The 19,957-nt window shown below is 43.1% G+C and overlaps 1 long non-coding RNA gene across 1 annotated transcript in view; it reads left to right on the forward strand.

The window, feature by feature from the left end:
• LOC105370615 (uncharacterized) overlaps window positions 1–3,151 on the forward strand; it is a 41,084-nt gene extending 37,933 nt beyond the window's left edge. Inside the window, exon 3 of the long non-coding RNA XR_944128.3 lies at window positions 2,948–3,151. This is a non-coding gene — a long non-coding RNA (uncharacterized LOC105370615). The remainder of the gene's footprint in view (window positions 1–2,947) is intronic.
• Window positions 3,152–19,957: the final 16,806 nt, after the last annotated feature.

Here is a 19,957-nt window from a genome sequence, read left to right on the forward strand (position 1 = left end):
ACATAATAAAACCTAAGGCATGTAGTCAAACCAGCATCCAAAGGAAAATTTAGTTTCAAATTAATTTGCAAATAAATTAGTGTCATTTGATTGCAGAAACTAGAAACAAGGACAATAAAATAAATCTAAAGAAAGTCTAAGGGAGGAATTACTAAAAGTAAAATTAGAGGTTAAAAAATAGAATGTAACAAAAAGTATACTTGATTAATAAAGGCAAATTCCAGTTCTTCAAATATAAGCAAACATACAGATACGATGTTCTACCTAGAAAACCCAAGACAATTGACTGGAAAACTCCTAGTTATAATACAAATCGATAAGCTAGGTTGGGTGCAGTGGCTCACTCCTGTAATCCCAGCACTTTGGGAGGCCAAGGTGGGTGGATTACCAGAGGTTGGGAGTTCAAGACCAGCCTGACCAACATGGTGAAACCCCATCTCTACTAAAAATAGAAAAAATTAGCCAGTCATGTGGCTGGTGCCTGTAATACCAGCTATTCAAGAGGCTGAGGCAGGAGAACCACTTCAGCCTGGGAAGGGGAGGTTGCAGTGAGCCCAGATCACGCCACTGCACTCTAGCCTGGGCAACAAGAGTGAAACTCTGTCTTAAAAAAAAAAAAAAGAAGAAGAAGAAGTCAATAAGATAGTAAGATACAAGGTGAACATATAAAAGAGCTAGCTTCCCCTTACTGTAGCAATAACTAATTAGAAAATATATTGAAAAAATCCTATTAACAATAATGAAAAATATTATAAAATACCTAGTCATAACTTTAAAAAACCATGCAAAGCCTATATGGAGGAAAACACTAAAACATTTAGTGTGGAAGACTAAATAAATGGAGAGACATCCTATTTTTCCACGTTATGTACTCAATATTGTAGAGATATCAGTTCCCTTCATAAAAATCAAATAACTTAGTTCAATGTCAATTTTCATGGAATTTAACAGACTGATTCTAAATTTCATTTAGTGAAGTAAAAGAACAAAACACTCAGATTTACTAAACACCCTACCAGACATTAAAAACTATTAAAAGGTAACATTACTAAATAATGCTGTTATAGAAATGAGAGATATATGAAATAAATTGGAAGCCGGGCACGGTGGCTCACGCCTGTAATCCCAGCACTTTGGGAGGCCGAGGCAGGTGGATCATCAGAGATCAGGAATTCAAGACCAGCCTGTCCGACATGGTGAAACTCCATCTGTACTAAAAATACAAAAATTAGCCGGGCGAGGTGGTGGGCACCTGTAATCCCAGCTCCTCTAGAGGCTGAGGCAGGAGAATCGCTTGAACCTGGGAGGCAGAGGTTGCAGTGACAGTGAGCCAAGATCATACCACTACACTCCAGCACTCCAGCCTGGACGACAGAAACTCTGAAAAAAAAAAGAAGAAAGAAAGAGAGAAAGAAAGAGGAAAGAAACAAAGAAAAAGAAAGAAAGAAAGGGAGAGAGGGAGGGAGGGAGAGAGGGAGGGAGGAAGGAACGAAGGAAGGAAGGAAGGAAAGAGATTAGAGTTCAGAATTTAGTCTATGACAAAGGTGGTATTGAAACAAGTAGAGAAAAGATGGATTGTTTAAAATTGGGGAAATTGGCCATCCATTTAGGAAAAAAAATAAACATAGACCCCAATTTTATATCACACACAAAAGTAAATTTCAGCTAGTTTAAGATCTAAGACTTTAAAACTGTAAAACAAAAGCAACAACAAATAATTACAGGGTAATAGTCATTTGTTTAATGGTTTTCCTAATCAAGATATAAAACTCAGGTACCAAAAAGAAAGATCAATAGGTTTGACTACCTGAAATTTAGTTTTTTTTGTACTGTGAAAACTACTGTAAACAATTTAAAAGAAAAGATGCAGATTAGGAAAAAGTATTTTTAATTTTATATAGTAGTAGGAATTTAAACAAATTTGCAAGGAAAAAAATCCTATTAAAAAGTGGGCAAAGGACATGAACAGACACTTATCAAAAGAAGACACACATGCAGCCAACAAACATATGTAAAAAAGCTCAACATCACTGATCATTAGAGAAATGCAAACCAAAATCACAATGAAATACCACCTCACGCCAGTCAGAATGGCTATTACCAAAAAGTCAAAAAACAACAGATGCTGGCGAGGTTGCACAGAAAAAGTAACACTTTTACACTGTTGATGGGAATGTAAATTAGTTCAACCATTGTGGAAGACAGTGTGGTGATTCCTCAAAGACCTAGAGGCAGCAATCCCATTACTTGATATATACCTAAAGGAATATAAATCGTTCTATTATAAAGATACAGGCATGCATATGTTCATTGCAGCACTATTCACAACGGCAAAGACATGGAATCAACCAAATGCCCATCAATGATAGACTGAATAAAGAAAATGTGGTACATATACACTGTGGAATACTATGCAGCCATGTCCTTTGCAGGGATATGTATGGAGCTGAAAGCTGTTATCCTCAGCAAACAAATGTAGGAACGGAAAACCAAACACCACATGTTCTCACTTATTAGTGGGAGCTGAATGACAAGAACACATGGACACACAGAGGCAGGGAGTGAAGGGAACAACACACACATGCCTGTCTGGGGGATAGGGGGAGGGACAGCATCAGGAAGAATAGCTCATGGATGCTGGGCTTAATACCTAGGTGATGGGATGATCTGTGCAGCAAACCACCATGGCACACGTTTATCTAAGTAAGAAACCTGCATATCCTTTATGTGTACCCCTGAACTTAAAATAAAAGTTGAAGAAAAGAATTTATTTATGAAAATGTATAAATTAGTAAGAAAACCACATTCTAATAGATTAATGGACAATTCACAGAAAAGGAAATGATCACATGGCCAATAAACATTGGGAATGATATTCAGTCTTCTTATAAGTAATCAAGAAATTTATCTTAAACAAAAAGATGAAATATTATTTTTATCTCATCAGTGTGGCAAAACTTGGAAAGATGGGCAAATCCAGTGTTGCTGAGACTGAGAAGACAGAAAGCAACTCTGTCCGCAGGCAAAGTAGTCCAGCAGGTCAGTCTCTGGATGCACCAACCCTGAGGATGCCAAGCAAAGAAGTTCAGGGTCCAGGAAAGACACACACGGGGACAGCGAGGGAGAAAGAGATAGGAGGTAGGTTGAAAAAAAGCTCAACATCACTAATCATTAGAGAAACGCAAAAAGCAACCAAAGCCCACTACCAGTTTTTGACTTTTTAGTAATAGCCATTCTGACTGGTGTGAGATGGTATCTCACTGTGATTTTGATTTGCATTTCCCTAATGATCAGTGCTGTTGAGCTGTTTTTCGTGTTTGTTGGCTGCATGTGTGTCTTCTTTTGATAAGTGTCTGTTGATGTTCTTTGCCCACTTTTTAATAGGGTTGTGTTTTTCTTGCAAATTCATTTAAGTTCCTACTACTACATAAAATTAAAAATACTTTTTCCTAATCTGCATCTATTTCCCCTCTCTTCCAGAAACGCAATAGAATTTATACCTTTAGGTGACAGGGGAGGGGCCCAGGACCCTGAAAAGTGAAGGAACAATAGGGTTTGTTGACTAGTTGCCTCACAGGTAAACCCCTACCTCTTTGAAGCTTCCAGAAGTCATAGATGGATGAGTGGTCTGGTTCCTGCACAAAAGAAAGCAACCAAAGCCACTGCCAGATTTGTCCTTAGTTTGACCCCTTCTACTTCTTCTCAAAGTAAGAAAGCAAATGTTCAAACCTAGAGGGACCCTGCAAAGGTAGCCTGGGTTTGATTTTAATCATCCAACAGCCTCTAGTCACCAAGAAAAAGGAACCCCCCCACCCCGTGCCAGTGGTTCTTGCGTTCTGGTGAGCAGCAAAAATTGAGAGTTTGTAAAAATAGAGACTGTTGGGACCCACGCTCAGAGTGAGTGACCCAGTGAGATAATTTGCCTTTCCACTAAGTCTCCATTTGTTGATGATGCTGTCCAGGGACCATACATTGAGAACCGCTGCTCAGAGTGAGTGCGTCTGTCCCATCAACATGTGGATGTTCTGGATTTGCTGGTTTTTCTCTTTGGAGGAAGTTATCACAAGCTGCTACCCAGCGTGGGAAGGCCTGTTGGACCTTTTTCCAATTATCAAGAATAATTCGTTTTTGATTCAAAAGAATGTCTCTCTAGGAAGACTGTTGCTGACGAAGAAAACCCCGAAGTAACTTATTTTTCTGTTGAAAAAAAAAAAGAGAGAGATGGGGAGGTATAGAGAGAACCCCAGTCATTTCTGTGGCAGTACTGGTTGAACATGCCTGGCAACAGCATTCTCTTAACCCACCTGGGCATAAAACAATCATTCTCTGACATTGATATGTATATGTCAAGAAACATTTTTAAGAAATACTCTGGTGTTGCAAACTGTATTAGACAATATCCTTTGTTTTGGTTGACAAAAAGCAGAAAAAACAACTGCATTTAAATAAACTTAAACAAAAGTCAGCGATTGGCTCCCATAACTGAAAATCCTTAGGGTAATGGCTTCAGGTATAACTGGATCCAGGCCACATGGGAAGAAGGCAGACTTGCACCTAGATAATGGGGTGGGCAATGGGTGAGACCAAGCTGCAGAGGTAGGCAGGGGCTGGATCTTAAAGGGCCCAAAGAGCCGTTTTAAGGAGTTGAGAACATGTGCATGCATGTATCTTTATAATAGAATTATTTCTATTCCTTTGGGTAGATACCCAGTAATGAGATTGCTGGGTCAAATGGTATTTCCACCTCCAGGTCTTTGAGGAATCACCACACTGTCTTCCACAATGGTCGAACTAATTTACACTCCCACCAACAGTGTAAAAGTGTTACTTTTTCTGTGCAACCTCACCAGCATCTGTTGTTTTTTGACTTTTTAGTAATAGCCATTCTGACTGGCGTGAGATGGCATCTCACTGTGATTTTGATTTGCATTTCCCTAAAGATCAGTGATGACGAGCTTTTTTTCATATGTTTGTTGGCTGCATGTGTGTCTTCTTTTGATAAGTGTCTGTTCAACTCCTTTGGCCACTTTTTAATAGGGTTGTTTTTTTCTTGCAAATTTGTTTAAATTCCTACTACTACATAAAATTAAAAATACTTTTTCCTAATCTGCATCTTTTCTTTTAAATTGTTTACAGTGGTTTTTGTAGTAAGAAAAAATTAACCAGGTGTGTGGCGGGCGCCTGGCTAATTTTTTTGAAGACAAAAGCTCCACCTAAATAAAGGAGCAGCATGAACCACTTGCCTTTAAGAAGCACCCTTCTGGCTGTGGTGTGGGTGGCTGGCATGGGCACGCCTAGAAGCAGGGGTTCAGGTGGGGCAGTGTATGACCAGTGAAGAGGTGATGGGCATGAGCAGCCCCAACAATTCTGCCTGCTGACCCAGACCTCACTATTCCACCGCCAGGATGATTCATTTGCCATTAACCAAGTCCAAGGGCCTGCCACGGGACACATTTGCTTAGGGAACCTCACATTTATACTTCCACTACCCTCTTATGCTCTTTAGTCTGAGCCCAGACTTGAACCCAGGTCTACCTAAATCCAAAGCCCATGATCTTAAACTCAACACTGCATTGCTCCTAGCTTTTTAAAGTCCTGTTTCCATAATCTCCCTGAAACAGAAGAGGAGACAATTGTAGGTGGGGTTGGGTGGGAGGCCCACTGTTCTCTGTTCTTGACCACACTGATGTATTTCATGGCGAAGAACAAACTTTTTCATAAAGCAATTACTCATCAAGTCAAAATTTCTTATGTTCGCAGCCTTATTATTTCCATGTACCTTTTTTATCCTTTCATCTATGATTTAATTTTTCTGTCTAGCGACTCTACAGCAAGCTCCCATTAGCACCGAAAGCTGTCTACCCACTCGGTTGGGCTTGACTCAGGCACCAGATGTGCCCCAGTTTATCCACGTGGCTCCAGGCACTCACATGTTCCTCCAGGTCCCATCCGCAGGCCTCCGGGACGCCTGCAATGGTATCCTGAATTCCCCTCCTAGAGCACCACCGCTACCACCACCCCCTTCCCGGCTCCAAGCACTCAGCCTGCTATAATTAAACAAACAGGGTTATTTGTGACATCCTGGTTTACACATCAACAAGTTATTTTCTCTGATTTTGCTATGGATGGATTTGCTCTGCTTACATTAAACAAAAACAGCTCACCCAAAAATGCAGAACAAGCAAGGCAGAGGAAAGGCGGCCCGACAGCTGCCTCCTTCCCTGTGAGGCAAGATCGAGTCTTCCCTTCCCAGACTCCTGGTCTCAAAGGAGCCAAGCCAGGAAGCTTCAAAGACACGGCCAAAGACCTCAGACCCGTAAGACAGCTGTAGAGGGTCAGAGCTTGGCACGGGAAGGGAGGGCTCCAGAAACACAGAAAGGTCAAATGGGAGTGTGTTTTGGAAGATTCCAGACTAAACAACATAGGAAATATAAATGTGGGATTCCCTAAGCAAATGTGTCCTGTGCAGGGCCCTTGTGCTTGGTTAATGGCAAACAAATCACCTTGCAGGTGGCAATGTGAGGTCTAGGTCAGCAGGCAGAATTGTAGGGAGTGCTCATGCCCACCACCTCTTCCCTGGTCAAACACACTGCCCTGCCTGAACTGGTTTCCAGGCATGCCCATGCCAGCCACCCACACCACAGCCAGAAGGGGCTTCTTTAAGGCAAAGCGGTTCATCTCACTCCTGTATTTAGGTGGAACTTTTTTTCCTCAAGAGAAATCCCAATTCTACAATGGTTCTATCAACCTTTTCTTTTCTTTTCTTTTCCTTTCCTTTCCTTCTCTTTCTTTCTCTCTTTCTCTCTTTCTTTCTTTCTTTCTTTCTTTCTTTCTTTCTTTCTTTCTTTCTTTCTTTCTTTCTTTCTTTCTTTCTTTCTTTCTTTCTTTCTTTCTTTCTTTCTTGACACGGCATCTCTCTGTCACCCAGGCTGGAGTGCAGTAGCGTGATCTTGGCTCACTGCAGCCTCGAACTCCCAGCTCAAGCCATCCTCCCACCTCAGCTTCCCAAGTAGCTGGGACTACAGGTGCATGCCACCATGCTCTGATAAGATTTTTGTATTTTTCTGTAGAGATGAGGTTTCACCATGTTGCCCAGACTTGCCTTGAACTCCTGAGCTCAAGCTATCTGTCTGCCTTGGCCTCCCAAAGTGCTGGAATTATAGGTGTGAGCCATTGCACCTGGCCAGTTCTCTCAGCCTTTCAAGATGCAGCCCCTGCCTATCTCTGCAGCTTGGTCTCACCCCACTGCCCACCCCAGTAAGAGGAACATTCAAGTTTTGCAAATGTGCCATTGGCACAAGGTGTTCCTTCTACCTTGAACACACTCTCGGCAGCCACCTTTGTCTGAAGCTTCGAGCCTACACTTTGCTGACTTTCTCTCCACCCTTAGCAAAGCTCGGATCTGGCTGTGTTCTAATCATCTGACTACACACCATTTCCCTTACAAACATTCAGCTCCATGAGGGCTGGGGCATGTCGACTTTGAACACTGTCCCATCTCGGTGTTTGTCTACATGGCTGGCATATTGTAGGTTTCCCACAGATGGTGTTTGCTGAATGAATGAGTGACTTTCTTTTGTGTTCAGTATCTCTTTTGGGGTAACTGACTCTGCAAACATCTGGTTCAAAAGCAGAAGCCACATGGTAGCTCCAAACTGGAAATACCCCAAATATCCATCAACTATAGACTAGAAATAGTGGTGTATTCACAAAAAGAAACTATAAAGGGCATGAACTATCTATAACAACACCCCAAAATGTAGCTGCATTTCACAAATAAAATGTTGAACGCAAGATGCCAGACACAAAGAATTATAGGCTATGGGATTCCACTTACATAAAATACAAAACCAGGTAAAACAAATCTTTGCAGTTAGCAGTTAGGATAGTGCTTCACCTTTTGTGGAAGATAGTGACTGGGGGATGCTAGCATGTTCTGCATCTTGGTCTGGATCCTGGTTACACAGGCATATTCAGGTGGGAGAATTCACACTGGGCTCTACACTTATGGCAGATGCACTTCTCTGTATGTATATTAAACTTCAATGTAAAGTCAAACAAACAAAAAACTAGAGACTGATATGGAGCTGAGGCAGGAGAACTGGGCCCCTGCTCTCTTGAATGTGGTGGGCACCCAGGCTTACACCTTTTCTCCCAGGGCCCCCAGTACTGGGATCTCTTCTTTTGCCTCTGAAGGCCCCAACCCCATGTAATGGAGACATGTGGTTGCTGCAAACAGTCAGACTCAAGAAATTCAGAAAGTCCCACACCCCAATGAGTTAGGAACTGTAGAGGGGACTCTGGAAGCAAGTGCAGGAAGAGACAAGGGAGAGAGGAATTGCTCTGCAGAAAGGAGGGTGAAGAATTTGGATCCTAAGAGATAATCCTGGGGGAAGGAGGTGACGAAGAACAACAACGAGATGCACAAAGGGAATCAAGATTGAGTGAGAGGCCTGGCACGGTGGCTCACGCCTGTAATCCCAGCACTTTGGGAGGCCAAGGAGGGCGGATCACTTGAGGTCAGGAGTTCGAGACCAGCCTGGCCAACATGGTGAAACCCCATCTCTATTAAAAATACAAAAATTAGCTGGGTGTGGTGGCACATGCCTGTAGTCCCAGCTACTCAGGAGGCTGAGGCAGGAGAATCACTTGAACCCAGGAGGCAGAGCTTGCAGTGAGCCGAGATCACCCACCGCACTCCAGCCTGGGTGACAGAGCAAGACTCTGACTCAAAAAAAAAAAAAAAAAAAAAATTAAGTGAGATGGGATGCAGCTGGGGCACCATGTGTTGACACCTCCATTGTCAGGGTGGCCAGGAGACGTTACGATGCAAATATTCAATTTGAAGGCATTGTATGTTGGCAACAAAAACCCCTTTTTGCTGCCCTCCCCACAAAACTCCAAGAAAGTAGGCCACATATACACACATGCCTTGTCTGAGTGGGAGTTTTGTTGGGAAGCCAGAAAGAGACTGAGCTCCATGTCTGGGTCCCTGAGGTGGTCAGCTGGGACAATGAGATGGACAATGAAACTGATCTGCCAGCAGAGGCAGCAGGGACACCATCAGAGGGGCTCTGAGCCTCCAGGGAATTCTCACTCCTCCTGGGGATGGTTTTGTACTTGCCCGGAATGCAGACTGAGAACTTGAAGCAAATCTTATTTGGATTTTAAGAGGCTAAGAGATCATGGCTGACACCAAGGTCACGCATTAGTACATTTAAGTAGCTATTAAATGTCTTAACTCTCCTCTTAATTATAAATCTCTCCAAGGCAGAAATTGCATATTTATCTTAGTGTCTCCCAAGAACCCGAGAGCCAGGTCTGGAATGAATACATCTCTCCAGGTCCCTGAGATGGAGGGGTTGACCACACACTCGCCATACTTGATGCACTGTCCTCAGAACAGGCCTGCACGCCGGTACCTTGTCCCAGTGTCAGTCCAGAGAGAATGAACAAGCTGTTCGTTCAGCCAGCCTCACAGCATTTTCATACGTGTATCGCACTCAGTTCTTACAGCAAGCCAGGAAGGAGAGTATGTGGTAAAGCTCATTTACCTATGAAAAAATGGAATTTTAGGGAGGGGTCAGAATGTCTTCCAGGTACCCAGTTAGTAAATGAGGCAAATGGGACTTGAATTCAGACCATCAGAGAGCAAAGTGTCCTTTTGAGGCCACTCAGGCATGCAGGGTGGGTTTCTTCCCCCAAGAGTTATTCTTTCTATTAATAATATCATGCTGCTTTTTTTTTTAACTTTTATTTTAGGTTCAGGGATACATGTGCAGGTTTGTTATTTAGGTAAACTCGTGTCACGGGGGTTTGTTGTACGAATTATTTCGCCACCCAGGTACTAAGCCTGGTACCTAGTAGTTATTTTTTCTGATCCTCTTTCTTCTGCCATTCTCCACCCTCCTGTAGGTCCCAGTGTGTGTTGTTCCCCTCTATGTGTCATGTGTTCTCATCATTGAGCTCCTACTAAGTGAGAACATGCAATATTTGGTTTTCTATTCTTGCATTAGTTTGCTAAGGATAATGGCCTCCAGTTCCATCCATGTTCCTGCAAAGGACATGATCTCATTCTTTTTTATGACTGCATAGTATTCCATAGTGTATTGCAGAGAAAAGGGAATGCTTATACACGGTTGGTGGGAGTGTAAATTAGTTCAACCATTGTGGAAAACAGTGTGGTGATTCTTCAAAGAGCTAAAAACAACTACCATTCAACCCAGCAATCCCATTACTGGGTATATACCCAAAGGAATAGAAATCGTGCTACCAATAAGCCACATGAATGCATATGTTCATTGCAGCACCATTTACAACAGCAAAGACATGGAATCAATCTAAATGCCCACCAGCATCACACTCTTTAATTACTTCCCAGTCTCAAGACACCCACGAAATGACTCCCTCCCCACCCCAATCTGTAACAAGGTTTAAGTCGATGACCAAGGCAGCCAACAGGGGTAGACAAAGAGCAGCCAAGTGGCACCTTCAGCAACTATAAGGGACCCTGGGCTGTGCCTCTATTAGAGCTCTGCTCTCCTCTCCCTTCCTCCCCCTCCCTCCTCCCTGTTTGCCAGCAGCTCACCCATCTCCTGGATTGGGGTTAGCAGGGCTGAGAAGGGTCTGACCAGTCCACAGACTTCTTAAGAGTGTGGCTGCCCTCAAAGTGACTCTGTTGGGGAGCACCCTGGGGACTCATTCATCCTTTCTTTGAATAAATGCTGTAGAACTAGAGAGATCCTGTGGCAGGCTCTGGGAGGGGGAAGCAGTGAACCTGACTCTGCCCTTCACCTGGAGGTGTTCCTAGTCTGGTGTGGGAGCTGCCTGAAGAGGGAAGGCTCTAATCCCAGTGAGCCCAGAGGGAAACTGACCTGGCTTTTGAGGTCTCAGGGAAAGTGTCATCTCAACCTATATTGGAGGTTGGCTGGAGCTGGTGGCAGTAAGGGTAAGAGCCCCACACACTTAGTGAACAAAGACCAGTTCAGCCTGGCTGCTTTCCAAGTGGGGGTGTGAGGGTGGAGAGCATGGCTGGTCTCACATAGCTGGCCTCACCCGGTCCACCTATGGCCAATGGGGTGCACATACCTTGGCTGGATGATAGCAGTTATTTCCTGCTGTGTTCTGAATATTTGTGTCCCAACAAAATTTGTATGTTGAAACCTAACCCCAAAAGAGTAGATATTTGAAGGTAGGGTCTTTGGGAGGTGATTAGGTCATGAGAGTGAAGCCCTTTTGACTGGGATTAGTGTCCTTATAAAAATCTCAAGAGAGCTTGCTTCTGCCATGTGAGGACACAGTGAAAAGATGGCCATCTATGAAGAGAGTGCTCACCAGATGCCAAAAGTGCCCTGGTCTGAGAATTCACAACTTCCAGAATGGTGACAAATACATTTCTGTTGTTTCTGAGCGACCCAGACCGTGGTATTTTGTTATAGCAGTCTGAATTAGTAGTGACTAAGACACTTCCCATAGCACAGTGCTTTGGGGCATACGTTTCTCTCTCCTCCTCCTGCTCTGGCCATGTAGGACGTGCCTGCTTCCCCTTCACCTTCTACCATGATTGTAAGTTTCCTGATGCCTCCCTGGCCATGCTTCCTGTACAGCCTGTGGAATCATGAGCCAATTAAACCTCTTTTCCTTATAAATTACCCAGTTTCAGATATTTCTTTATAACAATGTGAGAATGGCCTAATACACCTTTAATCTCCATTAGCCTCCCTTCAGTTTGGCATCCCAAGGTTCGACTGAAAGTTAGAAATATAAACCTCTTCCCCCAGGAAAGATTTCAGGCACTGCCAGGCCTGAAACATTCATTTTCTACTTTCTGCTTTTGATGGATCAGGAGCCCAAGAAGCTGGCCCAGACCACTCTGAAAATGGAGTGGTGTCCTGGATCTTGACTGAGTGCAGGAGGAAGCACAGAAGGACCTTCCCCTGGTTGTAAATACCTGGCTGTGGAGCTTTGGACAGGGCAGTGAGCCCCTGGGTTCAGTGTCATCCTTTTATAAAATGAGGAAAAATGTGTGGCTGTCAGGTGGGCCACGTGCTAGGGAGAGAGCAGGCACCAAGGCAAGGCCCTGCCTTCATAGACCAGATTGAGATGCAGAGGAAACCAGTGGCCCCTCTGCTTGGTGACCATGTTGTATTAGTTTTCTAGGGCTGACACAACAAGGCACCACAGCCTGGGTGACTCAAACAACAGACACTTATTAATTCACAGTTCTGGAGGCTGAAAGTCCAAGATCAAGGTGTTGGCAGGGTTGCTTCCTTCTAAGGGCTGTGCGGGAGAATCTGTTGCAGGTCTTTCTCCCAGCTGCTGGTGGTTTGCCGGCCATCTTTAGTTTTCCTTGGTTTGTAGAAGCATTGCCCTGACCTCTGCCTTCATCTCACATGTGTTCTCTCTGTGTGCTGTCCATATCCACATTTCCCCTTTTTAATCAGGACACCAGTCATATTGGCTTAGAGGCTCACCCTATTCCAGAATAACCTCATCTTAGCTAATTACTCTACGAGAACCCTATTGCTAAATAAGGTCATATTCTGAGACACTGGGAGTGAGGATTTCAATGTAGGAATTTAGGGGAATGCAATTCAACCCATAACCCATGTGAGATCAAGAAAGGTCAAGATCATCTACCTTTCTTACCTTAGTTTCTGTGCTTCTGAAACCAGGGATAATCAAGAAGGATAAACGGGACCATACATGTGAGGGTCCCTAGAACATCATAGATGCCAGCATAGAGGAGGAGCTCAACAAATGCTGATTCCTTCCATCAGTGACTCGGCAGAGATGCCCAAAGTCCCAGTCCTCGTTCCTTTACTCATGGCCTTGGCTCACTCTCCTCCTCCCTCTCGCCCAGGAAAGCTGACAAACTGATTATGCTAAAACTTAAGCATTGAATCTATTCTCCAAAAGGACGCTTGCTGTTGAAGTCTGTTTGGGGGCATCATTTTTATACTCCCAAAACCATGACACGTTTGTGACCTGCAAAGCCCAGCCCCGCCATGAAGATAAAGAATGTGACAGCTGCACCGAGGGTGACCGCTTTTCAAGCACTGCTCAGGACCATCGGCACAGCTCAGTGTGAATAACTGCAACCTCCTTTCTCCCTCTCTCTCCCCCACTCGTCGGCTTCGATTCACAGGCTGTGTAATTCAAGTCATTAATTTTTTCCATTCAGTGCACTGCCAATTTCTTCTCATTTTGTTCCTGGAAATCTCTTGTGTGCGTCTTCTAAATTTAAAATAAATACACTGTACATAATTGGATGCTAACCAGACAACACTGAGCAATCATACTTTCTCATTGATTCTGCAGATGTATTCGTCTCCAACACGGAATAGGAAAGGTCTCTGCGTGTTCTGGATGAAATGGTAAATGGAACAAGTTGTCCTCACATTCTTCAATATCAGTATTGGCCTTTAGAATATTTCCCCAGTTATGATCTTACTTGAAATGAACAATGAAAGGTTCTTGCACCAAAAATAGACATCCAAATTATTCTAGCTGCTACCATTGCGTGCTCACAGGGTTGAGTGGAAAGAGTGTAAGTGCAGGCCTCAAGAGACAGGAGATGTGGCTGCAGACGTTCCACGAAGAGGGCGGGTCATGGCAAGGAAGCACTTATTTACACTGGAGATTTCAGTATTCTCAGCTATGCAATTAAGAGCTTGGCCCAGATCCTTTTCTTCCCCCAAAGCACAGGATGCATTCTTGAGATATACTCAAGATGATTTTAGAAGTACAGAACTATGACATAAAATAGCATCGGATCTTGTGGAAGAGACAGAAAAACACCCCCCAAAGAATCCATTTGCTCACCCGCATTTCCTAGCCCTCTTGTTTGTATTAGGTGAGGCCATATGACTAGCTCTGACCAATGAAATGTGTACAGAAATTATGTGTGCCACTTCCAGTCTCAGATAGTGGGAAGCCTGTGCACCGTTCTCCAAACTCTCTCTTCCTCACACATGGTGGCAGAGAGTGCCTTGCATTACAGATTACCCAGTTCTAAGATGGTGGAGCCTTCGTCAGCTTAGCCTGCCGAGTGACTGGGCAGAGAAGACTCCCCACCAACCTGTGTAAAACACATAACGTGAGTTAGTTAGAAATAAACATTTAATGTGTTAAGACACCGAGATTTTTAAACATAGAGTATAATCCAGACCTGACTGAGTTTCTCATATTGAAAAAGTCCTTTCTTTAAAAATTCTACCTACTTCTGATTTCATCAAGGAGAAAGTCTCTGTTGGTGATAGTACATCTTTAACACTTCTTTCTTTTCTTTTCTTTTCTTTTTCGACAGGGTCTCACTCTGTCACCCAGGCTGGAGTGCAGTTGCGTGATCACAGCTTACTGCAGCCTCAACCTTCCGGGCTCATCTAGATGATCCTCCCACCTCGGACTCTCAAGTAGCCGGGACTACAGGCATGCACCACCATGCCCAGCCAATTTTTTTGTATTTTTTGTGGAGATGAGGTTTTGTCATGTTGGCCAGGCTGGCCTTGAACTCCTGGACTCAGGCGATCTGTCTGCCTTGGCTCGGCCTCCCAAAGTGCTGAGATTACAGGCATGAGCCACCGTCCCTGGCCCTTTTATTCTTATAATCTCACTTTTTAACTAAAAGAGAGCAGACTGGGCTCAGCATTTTTCAGCAGGCAGTAATACCCAGTATATTAGTTTGTTAAGTCTACCATAACAAAATACAACAGACTGGCTCGTTTAAACAACAAAAATTTATTTTCTCTTGGCTCTGGAGGCTAGAAGTCTGAGATCAAGGTGTCAGCAGGTGCTTTCTGAGTCATCTCTCCTTGGCTTGCAGATGGCCGCCTTCTCTCTGTGTCCTCACAGGGTCTTTCCTCTGTGCACGTGCATGTCTAGCCTCTCTCTCCTCTCTCTCTCTTTCTCCCTCTCTGCCCTAATCTCCTTTTCCTATAAGGAAACCAGTCATACTGCATTAGGGCCCACCCACCCTATTTGAACATAATTACCTCTTTAAAGCCCCTACATCCAAATACGGTCACATTCTGAGGTTTGGGGCTTTGGGACTTCAACATATGAATTTTGAAGGAACATAATTCAGCCCATGACACCCAGCTGGAGTTTTAGGACATTGTCTTTCACTTGTTTTTGGAGGGGTAGATGTTGCTTTCTATTAATGCAAGCCATGCCAGATTTCCATTTATAATTTTGATGCAAATTTTTCATAAATATACATGTATTTAAATAGTAGGAAGCTTGATTTAAAGTAAAACGTAAGAATTAACAGTATACCAAAAATTGTGAAGGGAGATGCAAATGGCTGAATTTGGGGAAACATTGCCTGGATGATTTATAAAGCCCGTCCCAATTCTTAGTTTCTTTCTTACACTATTTTAATTTTATTGCTTATGCATCCATTTAACTGAGTGCCTGCTATGGTTTGAATATGTCCCTCAAAGTTTCTGTGTTGGAAAATTAAATGTCATTGCAACAGTATTCAGAAGTGGGACCTTTAAGAGGTGATTAATGGATTAATGCCATTATGGAGGGAATAGGTTAGTTATCTCTGGAGTGAGTTCCTGATAAAAGGATGAGTTTGGCCTGATTTTCTCTATGTCTCCCATATTCACTCTTCCACCACATTATGATGAAGCAAGAAGGTCCTCACCAGATGCTGACATCATCTTTGTGGATTTCCCAACCTCCAAAACTGTAAGAAATACATTTCTTTTCTTTATAAATTACCTGGTCTGTGGTATTCTGTTACAGCAACAGAAAATGGACAAAGAGGGTGCATACTAAGTTTCATGTTAGTGTTGGACATTAGAGTGATCATAGAGTCAAGTGAATAATACCATCAGACCAAAGAAAGAAATAATTCAATTCTGCCTGGGAGAATCAGAAAAGGCTTCCCAGAGGTGGTGACGAGCAGTGTATTTTGGACTTTTCAGCCACACAAAAACATGGTCTCCTCATTCTTAACTCAATATTTCCTGAATTTTGAATGTGTACAAAACACTGTGACGATGCACCAAGAAGACACTGTGACTTTAAGAGGAGAGAAGAGGCTAATTAGTAGCAGAGAAGACCAGACATAAAATTCATGACTTGCATGTAGGGTTGTACTTCTTCCAGAGATGATTTTAAACATGTTTGGTTTTTTTCCCCTTGATTAGGAACTTTACATTTTCCTAGAATCTAGTTGTCTGATGTGAAATACATATTGGAAAAATTCAGGCATAATTGTGAAAACATATTTCTTAATCAAATGTAACCACAGGAGGAAAAATATTTCATTGAATAAACTCCTCTGAGGAGAGAGAGTTTGTTTTTGGAGTAATTCATTAAATGTTTTAGCCATCGGTCCCTGTCTTGGTCATTCAGCAAAGTACAAATATTTTTGGAGCTCCTACTAGACGCAGGAACTGTTCCAGATGCTGCAGATACTGTGGGGAGTAAGGCCAACAAGATTCTCTCTCCTGGGGCTTATACTCTGGCAGGGAAATTGACAATAAGCAAACAAATAGATGAGAGAGGATCAGATAGAAATAAGCACTCCAACTGAATGAAAATAAGGTGACGAGATAGGGATGATGGGAGAGCATGCCTTGGACTAGGGGAGTTGGGAAAACCTCTCTAAGAGGCTGATCTTAAGATGAGATCTAAGTGACAAGAAGCAGCCAGTGGGAAGAATATTACAGATCAGGGAAGAGTTGGACATGGGCCTCAAGGTAAGGAGGAGTATGTGAATTTCAGAAACAGAAAGTGGGCCTGATTCTGCAGCCTGGTGGGCAGAGGAGACTGGCAGGAGGCAAGGTCAAGGTCAAGAAGGAAGGTCAGGGTGAGATCACGCCTAGAACCTCGTAGGCCATGGAGAGGAACTGGGATTTGCTCAGGTGCGAGGAGAGCCACTGGAAGTTTCTGAACAGGAAATGGCATGATCTTGTTCAGCATAACATCTGCCTGTGTGAACACAGAGGCTAAAGAGTCCAACTGCCCAGCTCCAAAGCTTAACATCCCCACCTACCAGCAGCGAGACAACCTCTCCAAGTTCAATTTCTGTACCTTGGGGTCAAACCCAGCTCACAAGATGAGAGACAATGTTGTACAATTTCTCCACAGCAGGAGTTGTCAAATTTTTTTCTGTAAAGGATCTGTTGTGGGTTGAGTTGTAGCCCTCTAAAATTCTTATGTTGAAGTCCTAGCCCTCAGTACCTCAGAATATGACCTAATTTGGGAATAGGGTCAAGGTACATATAACTTGTTAAAATGAGGTCATTCTGGAGTAAGGAGGGCCCCTAAGCCTATATGACTGGTGTCCTGATAAAAGGAGAAATTTGGACAGAGACAGCACACAGGGAAAACGTCATGTGAAGATGAAGGTAGAGGTCAGGGCCATACTTCTGTAAGCCAAGGAATGCCAAAGATTACCAGGAAACCACCAGCAGCTGGGACAGAGGCTTGACACAGGTTGTCCCTCACAGCCCTCAGAAGGAAGCAACCCTGTTGACACCTTGATCTTGGACTTCCAGCCTCCAGAACTGTGAGAAGATAAATTTCTGTTATTTAAGCCACTCAGTCTGTGAGACTTTGTTAGGACAGTCCTAGCAAACTAATGCAGTGCTTCCCTAGTAAATATTTTAGGCTTTGCAGGCCAGATGATCTCTGTCATACTACTCAACTCTGCCATTTTAGCACAAAAGCAGATATAGATAATACAAACAAAGGAATGCAACTGTGTTCTAATAAAGCTATTTATAAATATAGGCAGTGGGCAGGCTGGATTTGGCCTGTGGGTTGCAGTTTGATAACCCCTGTCCTACAAAAATGTCTACCTCATTTTGCCCACCAAAGGCTGGGGCTGTTGGGTAAGTTCACTTTTTTTTTTTTTCGTGGAGACTTTGCCTCTGTTTGCAGTTTGGTAATAATAGTAAGAACTAATATTTACAGAGTAATTAATTTGTACCTGGCTCTATGGTAAGTGCTTTATGTGAATTTCCTTACTTAATACTCCCAACAACCTAATGGCATAGGAATTACTGTTTCCAACTCCATTTTACAGATGAGCAAATTGAACACAAGTGAGTTAATTGAGTTGCCTAAAATCCCACAGCAGGATTCAACCCCAGCAGCCCCACCATTACTCTAGCAAAACACACATAGAAGTGACTTTCCACTGCCTCCAAAAAAAAAACAACAACAAAAAAATCATTTTCTGGCTTTCTCTTTCCTCTCATACTCGTCTCCTAGCCTTTGGCATTTTTTTCTTTTTCCAGCATAAAAGTGTGTTTAAGTCATTTCCCCTCCAATTAAAATGTGCAATCCTTTCCTCCCTAGGGAGCAGTCAGCTACTGCAGATGATTTTGGAAAAATTGTTCATTTGTCTTATTTCTATATGTTGGAGCAATTATTCCTTTTTTCTTATGATCATTCTTTTAAAAACAATACCATAACTTTAATAGTCCCGTCAGTATTGTTACTTTTGCACGGATGATGGGCTGATAGAGCCATATGAATAAACTGGTACATGGAAACTCTGAGGTTTGATAAGAGCAGTTGATGAGCTGTGAACAGTGGTCAAGTGTTGCTGTTTCGTTTCTTCAGCCTCATTTATTCACCTGTTTCTCTTCATTCCTACTGGTGCCATCCTAGACCAGGCCTCTTTATTTCATGGCTGGATTGTTGCAAGTTTGTCCCTATGTCCCTGAGCTATTTTCTTTCTCATTTTTTCCTGTGTGCTATATCAGATTCATCTTCCTAAAATATCTCTTCAGTCATATCACTGTCCTTCTAGAGAACTTCTAATGGCTCCCCACTGCCTCCCAAATCAGGCTCCTCCATGGGACCCCCACCCTCACAAACATGGCCTTTTAGATTTATGTGAGTGAGTGTGGTATTTCTTTCAAGCCAAATGTGTTTTGAGTTGCAACAGAGCATCTCTGATTTGTGTAAAACATTTCTCATGCCAAAAATGTCAGCATCACCCATAAGAATTCATGAACTTAGAGAAGCAAACAAAATTAAGGGCATATAAAAGCAATCCATTCCACCAAATTCACCAATCGGTTGTGATATGCGGCATCCACACGAACATCCTTCCTACCAGATGGCGAGAAAGAAAATTGAACCCAAAGTTCAATCCACACAAAGGAAATATTCCACCCAGTTAGAAGGCTGGCTATGTCCATGTGTGAGCCAAGAAATCACTGAATCCATTTTTGAAATATATGTCCTATTAATCAGGATAACACAGCTGCCATAACAAATAGGTCTCCAGATTTCAGCAGCTTGACATGTTAGTTTATTTCTTGCCCACATAGCAATGAATGGGTGTTCCAAGGCAGGCATTTTTGGTTGGTGGACAGCTTTCCTCCACGTGGTCGTTCAGGGTTCCGGCCCTCTTCCCTTTCTGGCTCCACAAGAAGAACTCATTGTTGTCAGTTTCATCTTCTGATGGAAGGGAAAAGGGTCTGTGTGGAGCAGGCACACCTGCTTCTTAACAAACCTATCCCGGAAATAATACCCATGACTGGGGCTTGATTCTATTGGCAAGAACAATGGCACCTGGACATAAGGGGGTCTGGGAAATGAGTCCCTGGTTGGACAGCCACTTCTCAACAACAGCCTCATACTATGGGAGGGGGACTGCAGATTGAGGTGGACAGCTAGGTGTTCCAGCTATATAGACAGGCTGTTAATATCAAGTTCAATGGTAACTTGATCCTCAGACTAAATATAACTTGTCCAAGTTATGACAGGCAGGCAAAACCTGAAAAATAAAAACAAAGCTATTATTCCTAAAAATTACTTTTTATTACATGATTTTACCTGGTTAACTCCTATTCATTCTCCAGATCTCAGCCCAATCATGACATTCTCAGTGGAGCCTTTCCAGATATTTCTGCCTAAGCTGCATTTCTGTTTTCTATACACTTCTAGCCCCACAGACTCTCCATCTGTAACACAACATGGG

This window comes from Homo sapiens, chromosome 14, assembly GCF_000001405.40.
Source record: "Homo sapiens chromosome 14, GRCh38.p14 Primary Assembly".
NCBI classification, from domain to species: domain Eukaryota; kingdom Metazoa; phylum Chordata; class Mammalia; order Primates; family Hominidae; genus Homo; species Homo sapiens.